At 39.9% G+C, this 16,531-nt stretch overlaps 1 protein-coding gene across 5 annotated transcripts in view; it reads right to left on the bottom strand.

The window, feature by feature from the left end:
- The window catches only part of IREB2 (iron responsive element binding protein 2), a 64,023-nt gene that overhangs the window by 16,448 nt on the left and 31,044 nt on the right, over positions 1 to 16,531 (bottom strand). For 3 of the 5 annotated variants that reach the window (NM_001354994.2, NM_004136.4, NM_001320942.2), the window contains exons 6-12: positions 14,405 to 14,474; positions 13,082 to 13,265; positions 11,625 to 11,764; positions 8,647 to 8,818; positions 6,609 to 6,709; positions 1,572 to 1,688; positions 86 to 245 (exon numbers count right to left, since the gene is read on the bottom strand). In NM_001354994.2, the coding sequence (NP_001341923.2) occupies positions 86 to 245; positions 1,572 to 1,688; positions 6,609 to 6,709; positions 8,647 to 8,818; positions 11,625 to 11,764; positions 13,082 to 13,265; positions 14,405 to 14,474 (944 nt within the window). Of the gene's footprint in view, positions 1 to 85; positions 246 to 1,571; positions 1,689 to 6,608; positions 6,710 to 8,305; positions 11,765 to 13,081; positions 13,266 to 14,404; positions 14,475 to 16,531 lie in introns of those variants that run through there. The other 2 variants (NM_001320941.2, NM_001320943.2) reach the window with 2 other exon arrangements.

The following is a 16,531-nucleotide window of genomic DNA, read 5'->3' as shown; positions in this document are numbered from 1 at the left end:
TCATCTAAGAAACAAAGTTACAATAACAGAAAAGCCAACAATAATTAAGGAAAAAGAAAAAGTATGGCCATAAACCACAACCCACCTGCAGCAAGCATGACAGATGGATTGCAATTATTGGTACAACTGATAACTGCAGCAATGACCACTGATCCATGAGACAGCTTATATTCACTTCCTTCATAATGAATGGAGACAATATCCTTTTGTTTTTCAGCTGCAATTTGGAAGCCTTTAAATCCAACCTATACAAATTTCCACAAAAATATAAACTAAATATTCTGGGTATGTACAGAATAAAAGACTGGCAGAAAACATAGCAGATACCGGACATTTGATGATTTAACATTAAAAATCCTTTTTGTGAGTGATGCTAAAGGCCCATAACATTCAGTAGTTGTAATTCAGCTGAAGCATAAATCTGCATGGGCACGACAGGAGTCTGGTGATGTTCACAAGCAAAACTTTTATCTACTAAGCGAGTCCAGCCTACCACCCAGAATCCAGATCTCATTTGGCTTTGTTGTTCTTAATCATCCCTGTTTATAGTAATTCTCAAGAGATGGCAGAAATTTTTTTCTGTTAAAATGACCCCGAAGATTTCCTCCAAAGGGATCCTATGTGTGTGAGTGTAGCATAGCTGAAACAAGATTGGCTATGAGTTGCTAATTATTGAAGCTAATTGACAGGTACATGGCAATTCAGTGGACTATTTTGTTTTTGTACAAGTTTAACACTTTCTGAACAAAAAGTCAAGAAATCATAAAAAGAAAGGCTCTGAAAGGAAAGCCAAGTACTAGAGATCTCAGAATAGAGAAAGTGACAAGACTAAAACTGTGATTCTCAGACAGAAAATACAAACCCTCAAAAGCCAGAGACCACTTGCTACTCGGTCACATTTACCAAATTTTATGACTGTAGGCCAGGTGCGGTGGCTCATGGCTATAATCCCAGCACTGTTGGGAGGCTGAGGTGGGCAGATCACTTGAGGTCAGGAGTTGAAGACCAGTCTGGCCAACATGGTGAAACCCTGTCTCTACTAAAAATACAAAAATTACCCAGGAATGATGGTAGACTCCTGTAATTCCAACTACTTTGGGGGCTGAGGCAGGAGAATCGCTTGAGCCCGGGAGGGGGGAGGTTGCAGTGAGCCGAGATTGTGCCACTGCACTCCAGCTTGGGCAACAAAGTGAGACTCTGTCTCAAAAAAAAAAAAAAAAGTTTCTGTGATGATGTAACTATTCAATTATCTATGCTGTTCATCAATACAAGACCCATATGTATTCAGCATTTAAAAATGAGACTACTGTGACTAAGAAACTCAATTTTAAATTGTATATAATTTTAATTTAAATAGACACAATCAATCTCTGATCCTCACAATGGAACTGGGAACAAGCTTACCTAATGACTGACTTGCACATTAGACAGAAGGAAAATAAGGGGGCTGCTGGTGTGTGCCATAATATATAAAACATAGCAGTGAATTGAGTTTATGGGTCACCTTGTTGGTTCTTTACTACTTAGCACAAAGCGGGTTGAAAAACACGGATAAGAATAAAGTAACCTACCTTTTCATTTAAGCAAGCCTGGAAATCGCTTTTCATATCTGTCACAGCAACTCTATCCTGAGGTCTTTTTGGACCACTAACAGATGGAACTATTGAATTCAGATTAATCTGGATCACCTAAGAAATGAGAAAGAGAAAGAACAAGGAATTAGAATTAATTCCTTACGACAGATTCCAATTGAAGCATTACTTTCTAAAGCAGAGTAAGTATATTCGTATTTATTTTAATGCAATTTATTTTAATAGTATAATACACCCTCAACCCCAAGAAATAAAGATTTTAAAACAAGCACATTTAAATGTACGAAACATGAAAATTTGCTAAAATCAAGACTAGTAGATCAGTATGCAATTAAACTACCACAACACCAATTGTACTGCATATACAAAATCTGGGGCCGGGCGCGGTGGCTCACACCTGTAATCCCAGCACTCTGGGAGGCCGAGGTGGGCAGGTCACGAGGTCAGGAGATCAAGACCATCATGGCTAACACAGTGAAACCTCGTCTCTACTAAAAAATTAGCCGGGCGTGGTGGTGGGCGCCTGTAGTCCCAGCTACTCGGGAGGCTGAGGCAGGGGAATGGCGTGAACCCAGGAGGCGGAGCTTGCAGTGAGCCAAGATCGCGCCACTGCACTCCAGCCTGGGTAACACAGCGAGACTCCGTCTCAAAAAAAAAAAAAACCTGGTTTCCCAAGTGTTTTTTCCCACAAAGATAAACACTGTCTTAACAGATGTCCAATGATAAAATAGATGCCTATGCCAGCTATCAACTTATTGCCTCTGAGCTCCAAATCTACCCTCCTGCCCGCTCTGTGATCACAGAGGTAAACGGTTAGTAAACATTTCTCCTTTGTCAGCACACATGATGTGAAGAATGTGAAGACTGGTCACTAGAGGGTGCTGAAGGGACACAGCAGAGAAAGCGTTCTTTTTCCTGTTCCAGAGGGTTTCACTGGCCAGCCTGCTGCAACTCAGGGTTCTATTCCTTGGTTAAGAAACGTATTTTTTGTTAAAAATCCCACTTCCAACTAGATTCCTATTTATTTCTTCTGGCATTTCTATCGTTTCCTTCATGCATTTTATGTGAATATAACCATCTTGAAACTTTTCATCATGGCTTTCAACATTATTTTATATCCCTGTTTATTCTGACTGATCCAACTACTTACACTGTATTTATTTATTATTATTATTATTTTTATTGTGAAAGGGTCTCACTCTGTTGCCCAGGCTGGAGCGCAGTGGCACAGTCAGGACTAAATGCAGCCTCAACCTCCTGGGCTCAAGTGATCCTCCCGCCTTAGCCCCACAAGTAGCTGGGACTACAGGCATGCGCCACCACGCCTGGCTAAGTGAATTTTAGCAGAGGTGAGGTCTCACTATGTTGCCCAGGCTGGTCCTGAGCTCAAGCAATCCTCCCGCCTCAGCCTCCCAAAGTGCTGGGATTACACGCAAGAATAACCACACCTGGCTTACTTATACTTTCATTTAATGGATTCAGGCGATCCTAGTCTTTGCCCATAAATATCCATTTAAGAAGTTTCTCTTGAAATCAACATCCTAATGATTTTAGTTTTATTTCTTTACATGGTCAGGTTTGTTTTTTGTTTTTTTCTTAAGAGACAGGGTCTTGGGCCGGGCGCGGCGGCTCATGTCTGTATCCCAGCAATTTGAGAGGCTGAGGCGGGTGGATCACTTGAGGTCAAGAGTTTGAGACCATCCTGGCCAACACGGTGAAACCCCATCTCTACTAAAAATACAAAAAATAGGCCGGGCGCGGTGGCTCAGGCCTGTAATCCCTGCACTTTGGGAGGCCGAGGCAGGCGGATCATGAGGTCAGGAGATCGAGACCATCCTGGCTAACACGGTGAAACCCCGTCTCTATTAAAAATACAAAAAAAAAAAAAAAATTAGCGAGGTGTGGTGGCGGGCACCTGTAGTCTCAGCTACCTGGGAGGCTGAGGCAGGAGAATGGCATGAACCTGGGAGGCAGAGCTTGGAGTGAGCCAAGATCGTGTCACTGCACTCCAGCCTGGTGACAGAGCGAGATTCTCTCAAAAAAAAAAGCCGGGCATGGTGGCGCATGTCTGTAATCCTAGCTACTCAGGAGGCTGAGGCAGGAGAATCACTTCAACCCAGGAAATGGAGGTTGCAGTGAGCCGTGATCACGCCACTGCACTCCAGCATGGGTGGGTCTTGCTATCGCTCAAGGCTGGAGTGCATTGACTCGATCATAGCTCACTGCAGCTTCAAACTCAGGGGCTCGGGCCATCCATCCCCTTTCTCTAGGGACAGGGCCTTGCTTATGATGCTAGTCCTGAACTTCTGGCCTTAAGTAATCCTCTTGCCTTGGCCTCCCAAAGGGTTGTAATTACAGGCATAAGCCACCACACCTGGTCTGCTGGGAAATTTTTTTTTTTTTTTGAGACAGAGTCTCGCTCTGTTGCCCAGGCTGGAATACAGTGGTGCCATCTCAGCTCATTGCAACCTCTGTCTCCCAGGTTCAAGCAATTCTCCTGCCTCAGCCTCCTGAGTAGCTGGGACTACAGGCGCATGCCACCATGCCCAGCTAATTTTTTGTATTTTTAGTAGAAATGGGGTTTCACCGTGTTACCCAGGATGGTCTGGACCTCCTGACCTCATGATTTGCCTGTTTCGGCCTCCCAAAGTGCGGGCCTCCCAAAGTGCTAGGATTACAGGCGTGAGCCACCACGCCCGGCCAGACATTTTTTTTTTTTTTTTTTTTAAGACAGTCTCATTCTGTTGCCCAGGCTGAAATGTAGTGGTGTCATCTCAGCTCACTGCAACCTCCGCCTTCTGGGTTCAAGCGATTCTCATGCCTCAGCCTCCTGAGTAGCTGGGATTACAGGCCCCCACCACCACACCTGGCTAATTTATTTTTTTGTATTTTTAGTAGAGATGGGGTTTCACCATGTTGGCTAGGCTGGTCGTGAACTCCTGACCTCAGGAGGTGATCTGCCTGCCTCAGCCTCCCAAAGTGCTGGGATTACAGGCGTGAGCCACCGCACCTGGCCAAGGGTTTTTAACAGGCATATTTATTTCATTTTATTCTACCACCAAAGTTTTCCCATTGTTCTTATTCTTTCCATTTATGGATTTTAAAAAATGTGAACAAGGAAAAAAAATGGACAAAGCACTAGATCTAATAGAGGTGAAAATGATTGGAAAATGATCAGAAGTAAAAAGATTTGCCCAAAGTAGCACACAAATTCAATTTCTATGGGTCCTATATGGATTCATTTATTCACCTAACACGTTTACTGAATATCTACTATGTGCCAGCAATTGTTCTAGGAGCTGGGGATACAATACCAAACCAAAGTTCCTGTCCTCATGGAGTTTAATGAACAGTTAACCAAAACTGTAAAACCATGTTGTTAGAAATCCTTGACACACTCCTAGAAAATGAATTTTATTAAAATTAAGGCTTCCCTGGAAGTGAATTCTGCCTATTTTGATATAAATTTCCAACAGATTTTTTTTTTTTTTTTTAGACACTGTCTCATTCTGTTGCCCAGGCTAGAGTGCAGTGGCATGACCACAGCTCACTGCAGCCTTGACCTCCTGGGCTCAAGCCATCGTCCCTACTCAGCCTCCTGAGGATGTGGAACCACGGGAGCATGCCACTACTCCTGGATAATTTCAGTATTTACTTAGATTGTAAAATATCTTTAAAACTAACAAGTAAGACTGCATAATAGTGTATACCTTTAATAGCGGAATTTTGCAAAATACACAAGTAAACCAGATGCAGATAACATCGAAACTGATTATTCTGAAGGGAGATATTACTCTTATCATAAAGTAGAAATAAATTAGAGCAAGAATTAAGAGTCACTACTATTATTTTAAACACTAAAAAATTAGACTTCATAGGCTGGGCTTGGTGGTTCACACCTGTAATCCCAGCAATTTGAGAGGCCAAGGCAGGAGGAATTGCTTGAGGCCAGGAGTTTAAGACCACCCTAAGCAACACGGCAAAATCCTCTCTCTACCAAAAAAAAAAAAAAAATCCAAAAACCACAACTAGACTTCATAAGATATTACAAAATTCACTATAATAAAACTCTATGTAAAATTAATGAATAAAACAAAAGCACTGGGCTACAATAACATTACTTAAATAATAATAATAATGATAGCTACCCCCTCAGCCAGGTCCAGTGGCTCATGCCTGTAATCCCAGCACTCTGGGAGGCCAAGACTAGAGAATCCCCTGAAACCAGAAGTATGAGACCAGCCTGGGCAGTAAAATAAAATGAGACCCTGCCCAGGGTCCAAAAAATAATAATATTAAAAAAATAGTAATATTAAAACAAAACAGGGGTTAAGCATGGTGGTGGCTCATGTCTGTAATCCCAGCAAGGTGGGAGCTTGAGCACAGAGGTTGAGGCTACAGTGAACCATGATTGTGCCACTGCACTCTAGTCTGGTGAAAGAGCCGGACTGGGTCTCAAAAAGCAAAACAAAAAGATTAGCTACCCCTTATTGAGCATTTACTATGTGCCTGGAACTATTCTATGAATTTGTTTTTAATATCTAAGAATCCTTAGAGGTAGATATTGTCATATCTAACAGATGAGAAAACTGAGGCAGAAAGGCTAAATAAATTGCCCAAGGTTATACAGCTAACACGTCTTAGAGCTGGGATTCAAACCCAGGTGGTCAGGTACTCTAGAATTTATTATTATTATTTTTTTCCTTTTTGACACAAGTCTCACTCTGTTACCTAGTCTAGAGTGCAGTGGCACAATCTCAGCTCACTGCAACTTTCTTTCGCCCCACAGGCTCAAGTGATCCTCCCACCTCAGCCTCCCAGGTACTTGGGACCACAGGCGCAAGCCATGCCCAGCTAATGTTTGTAGTTTTTTTGCAGTGACAGGGTTTTACCATATTGCCCAGGCTGGTCTCAAACTCTTGAACTCAAACAATCAACCCACCCCAACCTTTCAAAGCGCTGGGATTACACCACAATTTACACTCTTTGCTACGAGGTGGGTTATTCTGCATATACCTGGGAGTATTCAGGTTCTCCTGAAGAATTCTGGTCATTTCGAAACAATTTCACAGCTTTAAGGTATGTTTCCATTGATTCGAGTTTGGCTTTGCTAAAACCTAAAACGAAGATGAACAAAACAACAAAATGCAGTGAGAAATTTATTTAGTTATTATTTTTTTCAGACAGGGTTTCACTTTGTTGCCCAGGCTGGAGCGCAGTGCTGCAATCACAGCTCACTGCAACCTTGACCTCCCGAGCTCAAGCAATCCTCCCATGTCAGCCTCCCAAGTAGCACCCCACCGTGCCTGGTTAATTTTTTTTTTTTTTTTTTACAAATGTTTTGTACAGATGGGGTGGCGGGAGGGTCTTGTTTTTTTTGAATAGGTTGGTTTCGAACTCTCAGCCTCAAGAGATCCTCCTGCCTTGGCCTCCCAAAGGGCTGGAATTATGGGTATGAGCCACCACACCCCGCCAATAAATTTATTATTTTTAGAAACAGGGTCTCACTGTGTCACCTAGGCTGGAGTACAGTGGTGCCATCATAGCCCACTGCAGTTTTGAACTCCTGGGTTCAAGTGATTCTCCCGCCTTAGCCTCTCAAGTTGCTAGGACTATAAGTCTGTACTGCCACACCTGGCTAATTTTTAATTTTCTTGTACAGATGGGGGTCTTGCTATGTTGCCCAAGCTAGTCTTAAACTCCTGGACTCATGTGATCCTCCCGCCTCAGCCTCCCGAAGTGCTAGGATCATAGCTGTAAGCCACTGAGCCTGGCCTCAGTAAGGAATTTTGAAATCTTTGGGGGTAAGGATACTGAATTCCAGTGATGAACAAGAAACAAATACTATTTACATATTCATTTACATTTCTCTTTCTCCTAACCCTTGAGAATCTACCACGTGAGCAAGCCCAGACTACACGGAGAAACCACATGAGGGTGTTTTGCCTGATAGACTTACCTAAGTCCTCAGCTGACAGCTCATAATTTGCTGTTAGACATGCAAGCACAACAAGCCTTCAGGATTGCAGGCCCTTCCTTTCAAATCTTGCAGTTGAGGCTCAAGACATGAAACAGAGATGAGCTGTCCCCACTGTGCCCTGTCTGAATTACCGACCCCACTGAAACCATGAGCTAGTAATTACTGCTTGTGCAAGCCACTAAATTTTAGGATAATTTGTTACACAGGATCACTAAAACCTTAACTCAAGATTAATATGCAAGGAACGAGGCACTTCTAACCATTTCTACTTTGAATGTTCTACTAACTCAAATGCAGAAGTTTTGCACTTGGGGGGATCATTCCCTCCAGGATTCTATATAACCATTCATCAATTTTGCTGTCTGATTAACTAACATAATAATCTGCCTGCACACTGAAGAATACTAGAATATATCCTCCAAATAAATATCTATACTTAGAAATGAGTAACTCAGCAATGATTACCTCATTAAAGAGATTAAAAAAAGAGATCTTACTTTTTAAATAGCAGACTTATGAAATATCAACATATCTTGTTTTGTAGATACTTTCTGTTTTAATCTAAACAGCCAATGGAAGAGTGGCCAAAATTTCTAGTTAATCAGGTTACAAAAAGATTTAGAAACTGTGGTCCTATGTTGTTTTTTGCAAAATTTTGCGCTTCTTCTTCTTCTCTAGATAGAAGACTGGTCCCCAAACCCCTTTGTCTGATAGCTCCTCTACTCTTGGTTGTAGAAGGGGACTGCTGTGAATATGTTTAAGGCTGACTTCCATTAAATTGCAACCTATGACCCCTAAGTAGAGGTGGAGGTATCCATCATTATGGGGAAACAGTCAAGTCAGGATCAATGGTTTGAATAATTCCTTTAAATTGCTTTCAATGTGTCACAGGGAACTAGGGTTTGAGGACACAACACTCTTTAAAGACATCTGATGTTTGCTTGAAAGTTGTTGTTTCAACATAATGTAATTTTGTGAATAGTAAATAACATGGATAAGGTAGTAATTTATAAAATATTATCAAACACATTGGAAATGTAACATGTTTATTCTAGTGATCTTTTATCTTCTTACCTGTATGTTCTAAATGTTTTAATGTCACATTGTCAACAGGGAAAAAGCTGAGGATAGCACCATATTCCGGACACATGTTTGCTATTGTAGTTCGATCAACTATAGATAATTGTGAAACTCCACTTCCAAAAAACTCAACAAACTTTCCAGCCACTCCTACTTGCCTGAGGTGCTATATAAGGAATACACAGAAACACATACAAAATTGCAAAGATAAGATTAGCAACGATTGTCTGAAAACTATAAAATAAAATTTTTAACCAATACTAGTGATGGTGAAGGAATGAGATCCTTCATTGTCCTTATGAATCAACTCATTCTGGTTTTGGGGGTATTTTAAGATAAGAAGTAAAGAGAAGACTGGTCCAATGTCACTGTTAATCAGGGTAGAAAGGGGCCTGAAAGCTCAAGGTGGCTATAATTAACATTTTCATGTCTTTGAAATCAGGGTACCTCAACTCAATAGTGTGTCTGTTTAGGTGGCAGCCCTTTTTCTTTCTTTCTTTTAGAAACAGGGTCTCACTCTGTTGCCCAGGCTGGAGCGCAGTGGTGTGGTCACAGCTCACTGCAGCTTCCAACACCGTGGCTCTAGCAATCCTCCCACCTTAGCCTCCAGAGTAGCTGGAACTACAGGCATGTGCCACCGCACCCAGCTAATTTTTAACTTTTTTTTTTTTGTAGAGACAGGGTCTTACAATGTTGACCAGGTTGGTCTTGAACTTCTGGCCTCAAGTGATGCTCCTGCCTTGGCGTCCCACAGGTGTGAGCCACTGCACACAGCCCTTTATTCTTTCTTAGCAGTGCATAAAACAGTGGTGTTTGCTAACCACTGATGGCATCTTAGACTTAATGAAATACTAATAGACTGATGAAACTGTATATTTAAATAAAAAATTATATATTGGCTATAAACATTTTTCAAATTATAACTACTGGCCCAAATGTTTACAGCATCTTTAATCACAGGCAAATCCCACTTTGGTAGAATTTGTTAACATGTGGTTTCAAACTTAATTCCTTCTAAAATTATTTTTCTTGGTTATTATACTATCAAGTAACCCAACCAGTTATTTGTCTTTTCTAAATTGTAAAATGGTCTCAGATTGGTATAGGAAGAGTGACTAAGGAGGCGACTAAGAATGAAACTATCCTCGATCTATGAATAATATTAAGCCCTAACATTTTATAAGTGCCAGGGATCACTTAATCCAAACCCTTTTTTATAGATACAGAAACTCAAACCCTAAGTGTAAAGATGTTTCCTCATTTATGGTTTTTTTTTTTTTTTTTTTTTTTTTGAGACAGAGTCTCGCTCTGTCGCCCAGGCCGGACTGCGGACTGCAGTGGCGCAATCTCGGCTCACTGCAAGCTCCGCCTCCCGGGTTCACGCCATTCTCCTGCCTCAGCCTCCCGAGAAGCTGGGACTACAGGCGCCCGCCACCGCGCCCGGCTAATTTTTTGTATTTTTAGTAGAGACGGGGTTTCACCTTGTTAGCCAGGATGGTCTCGATCTCCTGACCTCATGATCCACCCGCCTCGGCCTCCCAAAGTGCTGGGATTACAGGCGTGAGCCACCGCGCCCGGCCTATGGTTTTATTTTTTAGGATGAAAGAAACACAGATTAGATATTACAAACCAAATGCTGCTCTCATCAAAAAAACAATACAGGATTATTCCTATAAGGATCACAAATGGAACAGGATCTCAAAAAAGAAGTAATAATATATTCAATAAATGTAAACATATATAATAGATTAATTTTTTAACATTAAACTAAAATGTCAAAAAACACACAGTAATATTGTCAGGAAAAAACAGCTAGAGAAGGCTAAAAAGCAGCGTTAGTTTTCAGGATGTCTAAAGTAAAGAATTGATTTCTGTAAAAACATAATGGGATACTCCTTTTCCTCTAGGAATAATCCTGCAATTCCCAATTTACTACTTGATCTTTTGGTATCATACGTTGAATCAATAATTTCTCTAAGATGCCAAATTCTTTTCTAATTAGGGAAGAAGGATCAATACCAAATGCTGAGAGGGAGGCATTATCATTTCCTTACACTGGAGTATCCGGAAAGCCTTCGTACCAATAATCTAACCAAAAATGCTGAGATTGGGACTCAAATTGGAATTATATGTGGAACATTTTCCAGGTACATTCATTTAACAAAATAGGATTTAATCATTAAAATAAAGTTAGCAAAGGCCAGACATTTAGGAAGAAGAGTTACAAATTATTGTTCACTAGGAAATCCGTGAGCCTGTGTATTAATATGCTTAACAAGCTCAGTGTATGTATTGAAGTTCTGAAGCCAGTATTTTAAAAATTCAGAGAGAAGATTTTTACATAATAATCCAGAGAAATGTTAAAACGGCAACAGAAAAATGATATATCACATTTCTACAGTCCATGTTTTTGAAAGCATTACTTAGTAGAGCAACAGTTTCTAATGGGCAAATAATTTAATTAAAGACGACACAATCAACTTTTGCTAAACATTTTTTTTAAATTCAAGTAAAAAAGAGAAAAAAAATAATGTAGTCAGCAAGTGTTTATTAAGGCAACAAGGCACTAATAAGGCATAATGGTTAAGACAATGGACTCAAGAATCTGACTGCCTGGAATCTTTGCTCTACCCCTTACTACTCAGGCCTTCGACCCTTTGGTAAGTCACTAAACCCTACTGTACCTTAGTTTTCTCAGAGTTACAATGAGAATAGTAATAGTATCCATCTCACAGGCTTGTTATAAGGACTAAATGAGCTAACATAAGTGAACACAACAAATTTCTTTGTATTTATTAGTACAAACTAAATGCTCTGTTTGTTGTTATTACTATGATAACTATGATGATGTGGCTAACGTCAAGAGACCTGAGGATGCAGTAATGAACCCAAATCCCTGCTCTCATAGAGCTCTTCAATTTTTATAAAAATAATGTTCAGTAAGTCATAGAGCTACCACAACTTTAACTTACCTTTGTAATACCAAGAACAACATCTATGGATGTAACAAAAGGGTTTGATGACCCAGTTAACTCACATCCAACCACCTCTGGTAAAGTAAGAGAAACTGGCAGACCAAGCATAACTGCTTCTGTTTCAATGCCTCCAACCCCTAACGTAATAAAGACAGGTATATTAGCACAGTATATTTAAAGATCATTTATCTCTGTAACATCTGAATCTCTAGGTGTTTCATGAGCTTATCTTACACAGTACTTTGCAGAGTTGCTATATTGCTATTAATGTGGACACTGAACCCAAGGCTTCCCAAAAGAAATGATTCCACTCGCACGGTCGAAAAACTATTATTTTACCTTTATATTCAAGGTAAAATATTAGTTTTAAGTATATTCAAGTTAAAACATTAGTTTAAGTATTCATTATGTTAGGCACTGCACTGTATTCAAGATACAGATATAAACAGAATCCAGTCCCTGCCAACCTCAACAAGTTCAGTCTAATGAAAAAGCACAAAAAAATCAACATTTATAACACCCTGTGAAAGAGTAAGCTTACAAAGTGAGGTACACTGAACTCAGCAAGGGAGTTAAGACTTTCAGAAGATAACTGAGGCCAGTCTTGGATGAGTTAATAGTAGCCACATTTCAACAAAGTCACGGTCGGCAGAAAGCATTCTTCCAGAAGAAATAGCCTATGCAAAGTCATGGCATATAAAAGAGCATAGCTAGCTGGGCTCAGTGGCTCACGCCTGTAATCCCAGCACTTTGGGAGGTCGAGGTGGGTGGATCACTTAAGGCTAGGAATTCAAAACCAGCCAGGCCAGCATAGCAAAACCGTATCTCTACTAAAAATACAAAAATTAGCTGGGCGTGGTGGCACGTGCCTGTAGTCCCAGCTACTTGGGAGGTTGAGGCACAAGAATTGCTTGAACCCAGGAGGTGGAGGCTGCAGTGAGCCAAGATTGTGCCACTGCACTCCAACCTGGGTGACAGAGCAAGATGCTGTCTCCAAAAAAAAAAGAAAAAGAAAAAAAAAAGAAAAGAGACAGCCCACGTAAGTAAAGAAATGACTAGTCTCTCTAAGATGGGTGTGGGTGAGTGGCTAAAGGGACATGCCTTGTATAAAATGGCAAGAAATCTGGACTTATAAAGAAGACCAGGAGAAGCCACAAAAGTACCTTACACAAAGAAGCAAACTTTGTAGACGTATCATCATCATCATTCAATTATTCAATTACTTCACAAATAGTAGTGCTGTGCTAGACACTGTGTAAATTTCTTCTCATAAATCCTCTTTTACAACACTGATCACAAACTCTCAATTAGGATTTTGTTGTTGCTGCTGTTATTACAGATGAAAAACACAGAGCCTCAAAGAGGCTATACAAACTCAATAATTTATGTTCTTTTACAATGTTCTTGACATCCTTACCCCAAAAGAAATGAAATATATTTAGTCATTTACTTACCCCACCCCAGAATCCCTAAACCATTCACCATCGTTATGTGTGAATCTGTGCCGACTACACTGTCTGGGAAGAGGAGGTCTTTTTCTTCAAAAACCACTCTTGACAAATATTCTAAGTTTATTTGATGAGCCATTCCAGTTCCAGGAGGGATCACTGCCACATTCTTAAAAACTCTTGAACTCCACTATATTTTGTTTAAATTTAAGAAATACAAATGTTAGTATATAAATTTGTGCTCACAATCAAGGTGTAATATTAACATTAAAAATATTTTAACTAATGTTCAATATGGTAAATACAAAGTTCATATCACATAGTTAAAAACAAATATACAGATACTGAACCTAAATGTATTTTTTATTAAGACAAAATTAATTTAGGTCAAATAAAAATGTTCAAAAAGTCCAGACAAATGGCAGTATTCAACTGCGTTCCAAAGATTCTCAGGAATGAGAAGGAAGAAAGGCTCAATGTACAAGGCCCTCCCTCCAAGCTCTCTCTCCTAAACTAGAGCCACTGTTTTCATCTTTCTCTACACAATAGGGTTTCCAATTAAGATTTCATTTGAGGAACAAAAGCGTTCTACTACTATAAAACCTTTAGAAACTACTAAAGTGGCTGGGCAGAGTGGCTCATGTCTGTGATCGCAGCACTTTGGGAGGCCAAGGCAGGCAGATGGCTTGAGGCCAAGAGCTCGAGACCAGCCTGGCCAACATGGCAAAACCCCGTCTCTACTAAAAATACAAAAATAGCCAGGCAGTGGTGCACATCTGTAATCCCAGCTACTCAGGAGGCTGAGGCACAAGAATCGCTTGAACCCAAGAGGCAGAGGTTGCAGTGAGCCAAGATCACACCACTGTACTCCTGTCTGGGCAATAGCAAGACTCTTCCTCAAAAATAAATAAATAAATAAATAAAATAATAAATACGGCAGGCACGGTGGCTCATGCCTGTAGTCCCAGCACTTTGGGGGGGGCCGAGGCAGGCAGATTGCCTGAGGCCAGGGGTTCAAGACCAGCCTGGCCAACATGGTGAAAACCTATCTCTACTAAAAATACAAAAATTAGCCAGGCGTGCTGGTGTGCGCCTGTAATCCCAGCTACTCGGGAGGCTGAGGCAGGAGAACTGCTTGAACCCAGGAGGTGGAGGCTGCAGTAAGCTGAGATCACGCCACTGGACTCCAGCCTGGGTAACAGGGCGAGATTCTGTCTTAAAAAAAAAAAAAAAAAAAAAAAGGAAAAGAAAAAGAAACAAAGATATAAAAATTGTACCTATCATTAGTTTATATATTACAATACAAAAATTTCCCTGAATCATTTATACCTTAAAAAACTGAAGCCTCTCTCGATTTCTGCCGAATTCTACTTCTTGATTTTTTAACACTGTTTCAGGTCTAAAAGGAAGAAGAGCTGGCATTAAACGTATGTATTACAAAAAAGACTTGCCTTGTTTCTTTCTAAGTCATCGTTCTTAGGCATATATATACACAAATATATTCTTAAAATCCTTGGAAGAACTATTTACTAGGTTTCTCAGAATTATTTTCTTTTTCAACAAAGTTCTGCTTTAAAATAACACACCGGAAAGCTACAAAAGTGAGTTGTATTTTACTGAGTGTAAGAAAGCCACATTACACCAATGTCCAAAACTGTACTCAAGTGATAATAAAAACACACTTTGTTGGGTTATCCGCTGCAAGAAAAGAGGAAAGTAGTAGCTTCAACGACAAGCATGTACTTTCCTCCCCACCTGGCTCTTGTGCCAATTAAACTAGGAGATGGGTGCTGATTATTTCTATGCAGCATTGACGAACAACATCTCAACATCATTTTACAGTTTAAAAAGAGCTTTTGGCAAAAATCTTTCATTCATCTCATACCAAAAGAAGGCTCTACTTTATGTATAAGTAGCAGTTCACTTTACATGGATTATAAATATAGTTTACATGAATTATTTAAACTAAGAGACAAAAATAATTGACCTCTAACCAGTAACATAGTATCATTTTTAAAAAATTATTTTTATCTAATAGTTATTTTTAAAAATTATTTCAAACAGCTTTAAGCTGCTTCTTTTACCTGCCAGCTGGTGACTGGGTGTTGACTAGAATATCAATATAACTTAAATTATACGTGTCCTCCAGGGACCAGATAATTAGTCCAGATAATTACAGTTGTTTAATTGTCAACCTTTTTTTTTTGAGACGGAGTTTCGCTCTTGTTGCCCAGGCTGGAGTGCAATGACATGATCTCGGCTCACTACAACCTCCGCCCTACCGGGTTCAAGCGATTCTCCTACCTCAGCCCCCTGAGTAGCTGGGATTACAGGTATGCACCACCACACCCGGCTAATTTTGTATTTTTAGTAGAGATGGGGTTTCTCCATGTTAGTCAGGCTGGTCTCAAACTCCCGATCTCAGGTGACTGATCCACCCGCCTCAGCCTCCCAAAGTGCTGGGATTACAGGTGTGAGCCACCACACTCGGACAACTTTTTTTTTTTTTAAACAAAGATTACTTTAATAATTCATAGTTGAGTCATCTTTTGAAGCCAAGCATATCTTAGTGAGATTTTTCTCAGGGCCTCAGGGAAAACAGCTTTCTGAGCCACTCCAATTATTTTACCTTTCAATAGCACTTATGGCTACAAAGTGCCATACAAACATTTATTGGCTCATAACCTGACTTCAAACTAGGGGGTAATTTGAAGTGCCAAAGGTTATGCTCTCATCTTTCTACTCAACTTCTTAAGTCAATAATTAATACTTCACTGACACATTAAAAGATACAAATGAGTAACTATTATCACATAGCCAGGAACTACAATATAATCTATCTTAATACTTTGTAATTCGGAGTCAAAATTATGGGGAAATGTTACAGCAGATTGGATTTTTAGAAATAAAAATATAGCACTAAGCACTTACGATGTGCCAGTTATAAAAAGAAACAAAAACTAAAGAAATCAATGATTTTGAATCAATAAATCTTCCTTTTCAGGAAATTAATTTCTGTATAAGAGGTGTTAATCTCAAAAGTCAACATGCTCCTAACAACCAGGACAACTAGGCAACAGGAACAAGAAAGTGACTTCATAAAACTTTCAAAATTTGATGGCAAAAGACTCAGAGATTATACTGAATCCTTAGAAAGGAAGAGCACACGAGGTCACTATAACCTGTGGCTTCATAAAAATATTAAGCCCAATATTTTAGAACTAGACAGAATTTGGAAGATCCAGTCAGGGACAAAGGAATTAACGTATTATTTGGTACTTAGGATAAATGAATGGACATTACTCTTAGCTACTCTAAATCTTAAATGTGTTAAACTTTTTAAAACCTAAAGTGCAAGTAATTTTTTACTAAATTAAAAAAAAAAAAAGCCAGGTGGAGTGCCACATGCCTGCAGTCCCAGCACTTTGCGAGGCCAAGGTGGGATGACTGCATGAG

This window comes from Homo sapiens, chromosome 15, assembly GCF_000001405.40.
Source record: "Homo sapiens chromosome 15, GRCh38.p14 Primary Assembly".
Taxonomy (NCBI): domain Eukaryota; kingdom Metazoa; phylum Chordata; class Mammalia; order Primates; family Hominidae; genus Homo; species Homo sapiens.
The sequence above is the reverse complement of the archived record's forward strand: the minus strand, read 5'-3'. Positions and strand labels throughout refer to the sequence as shown.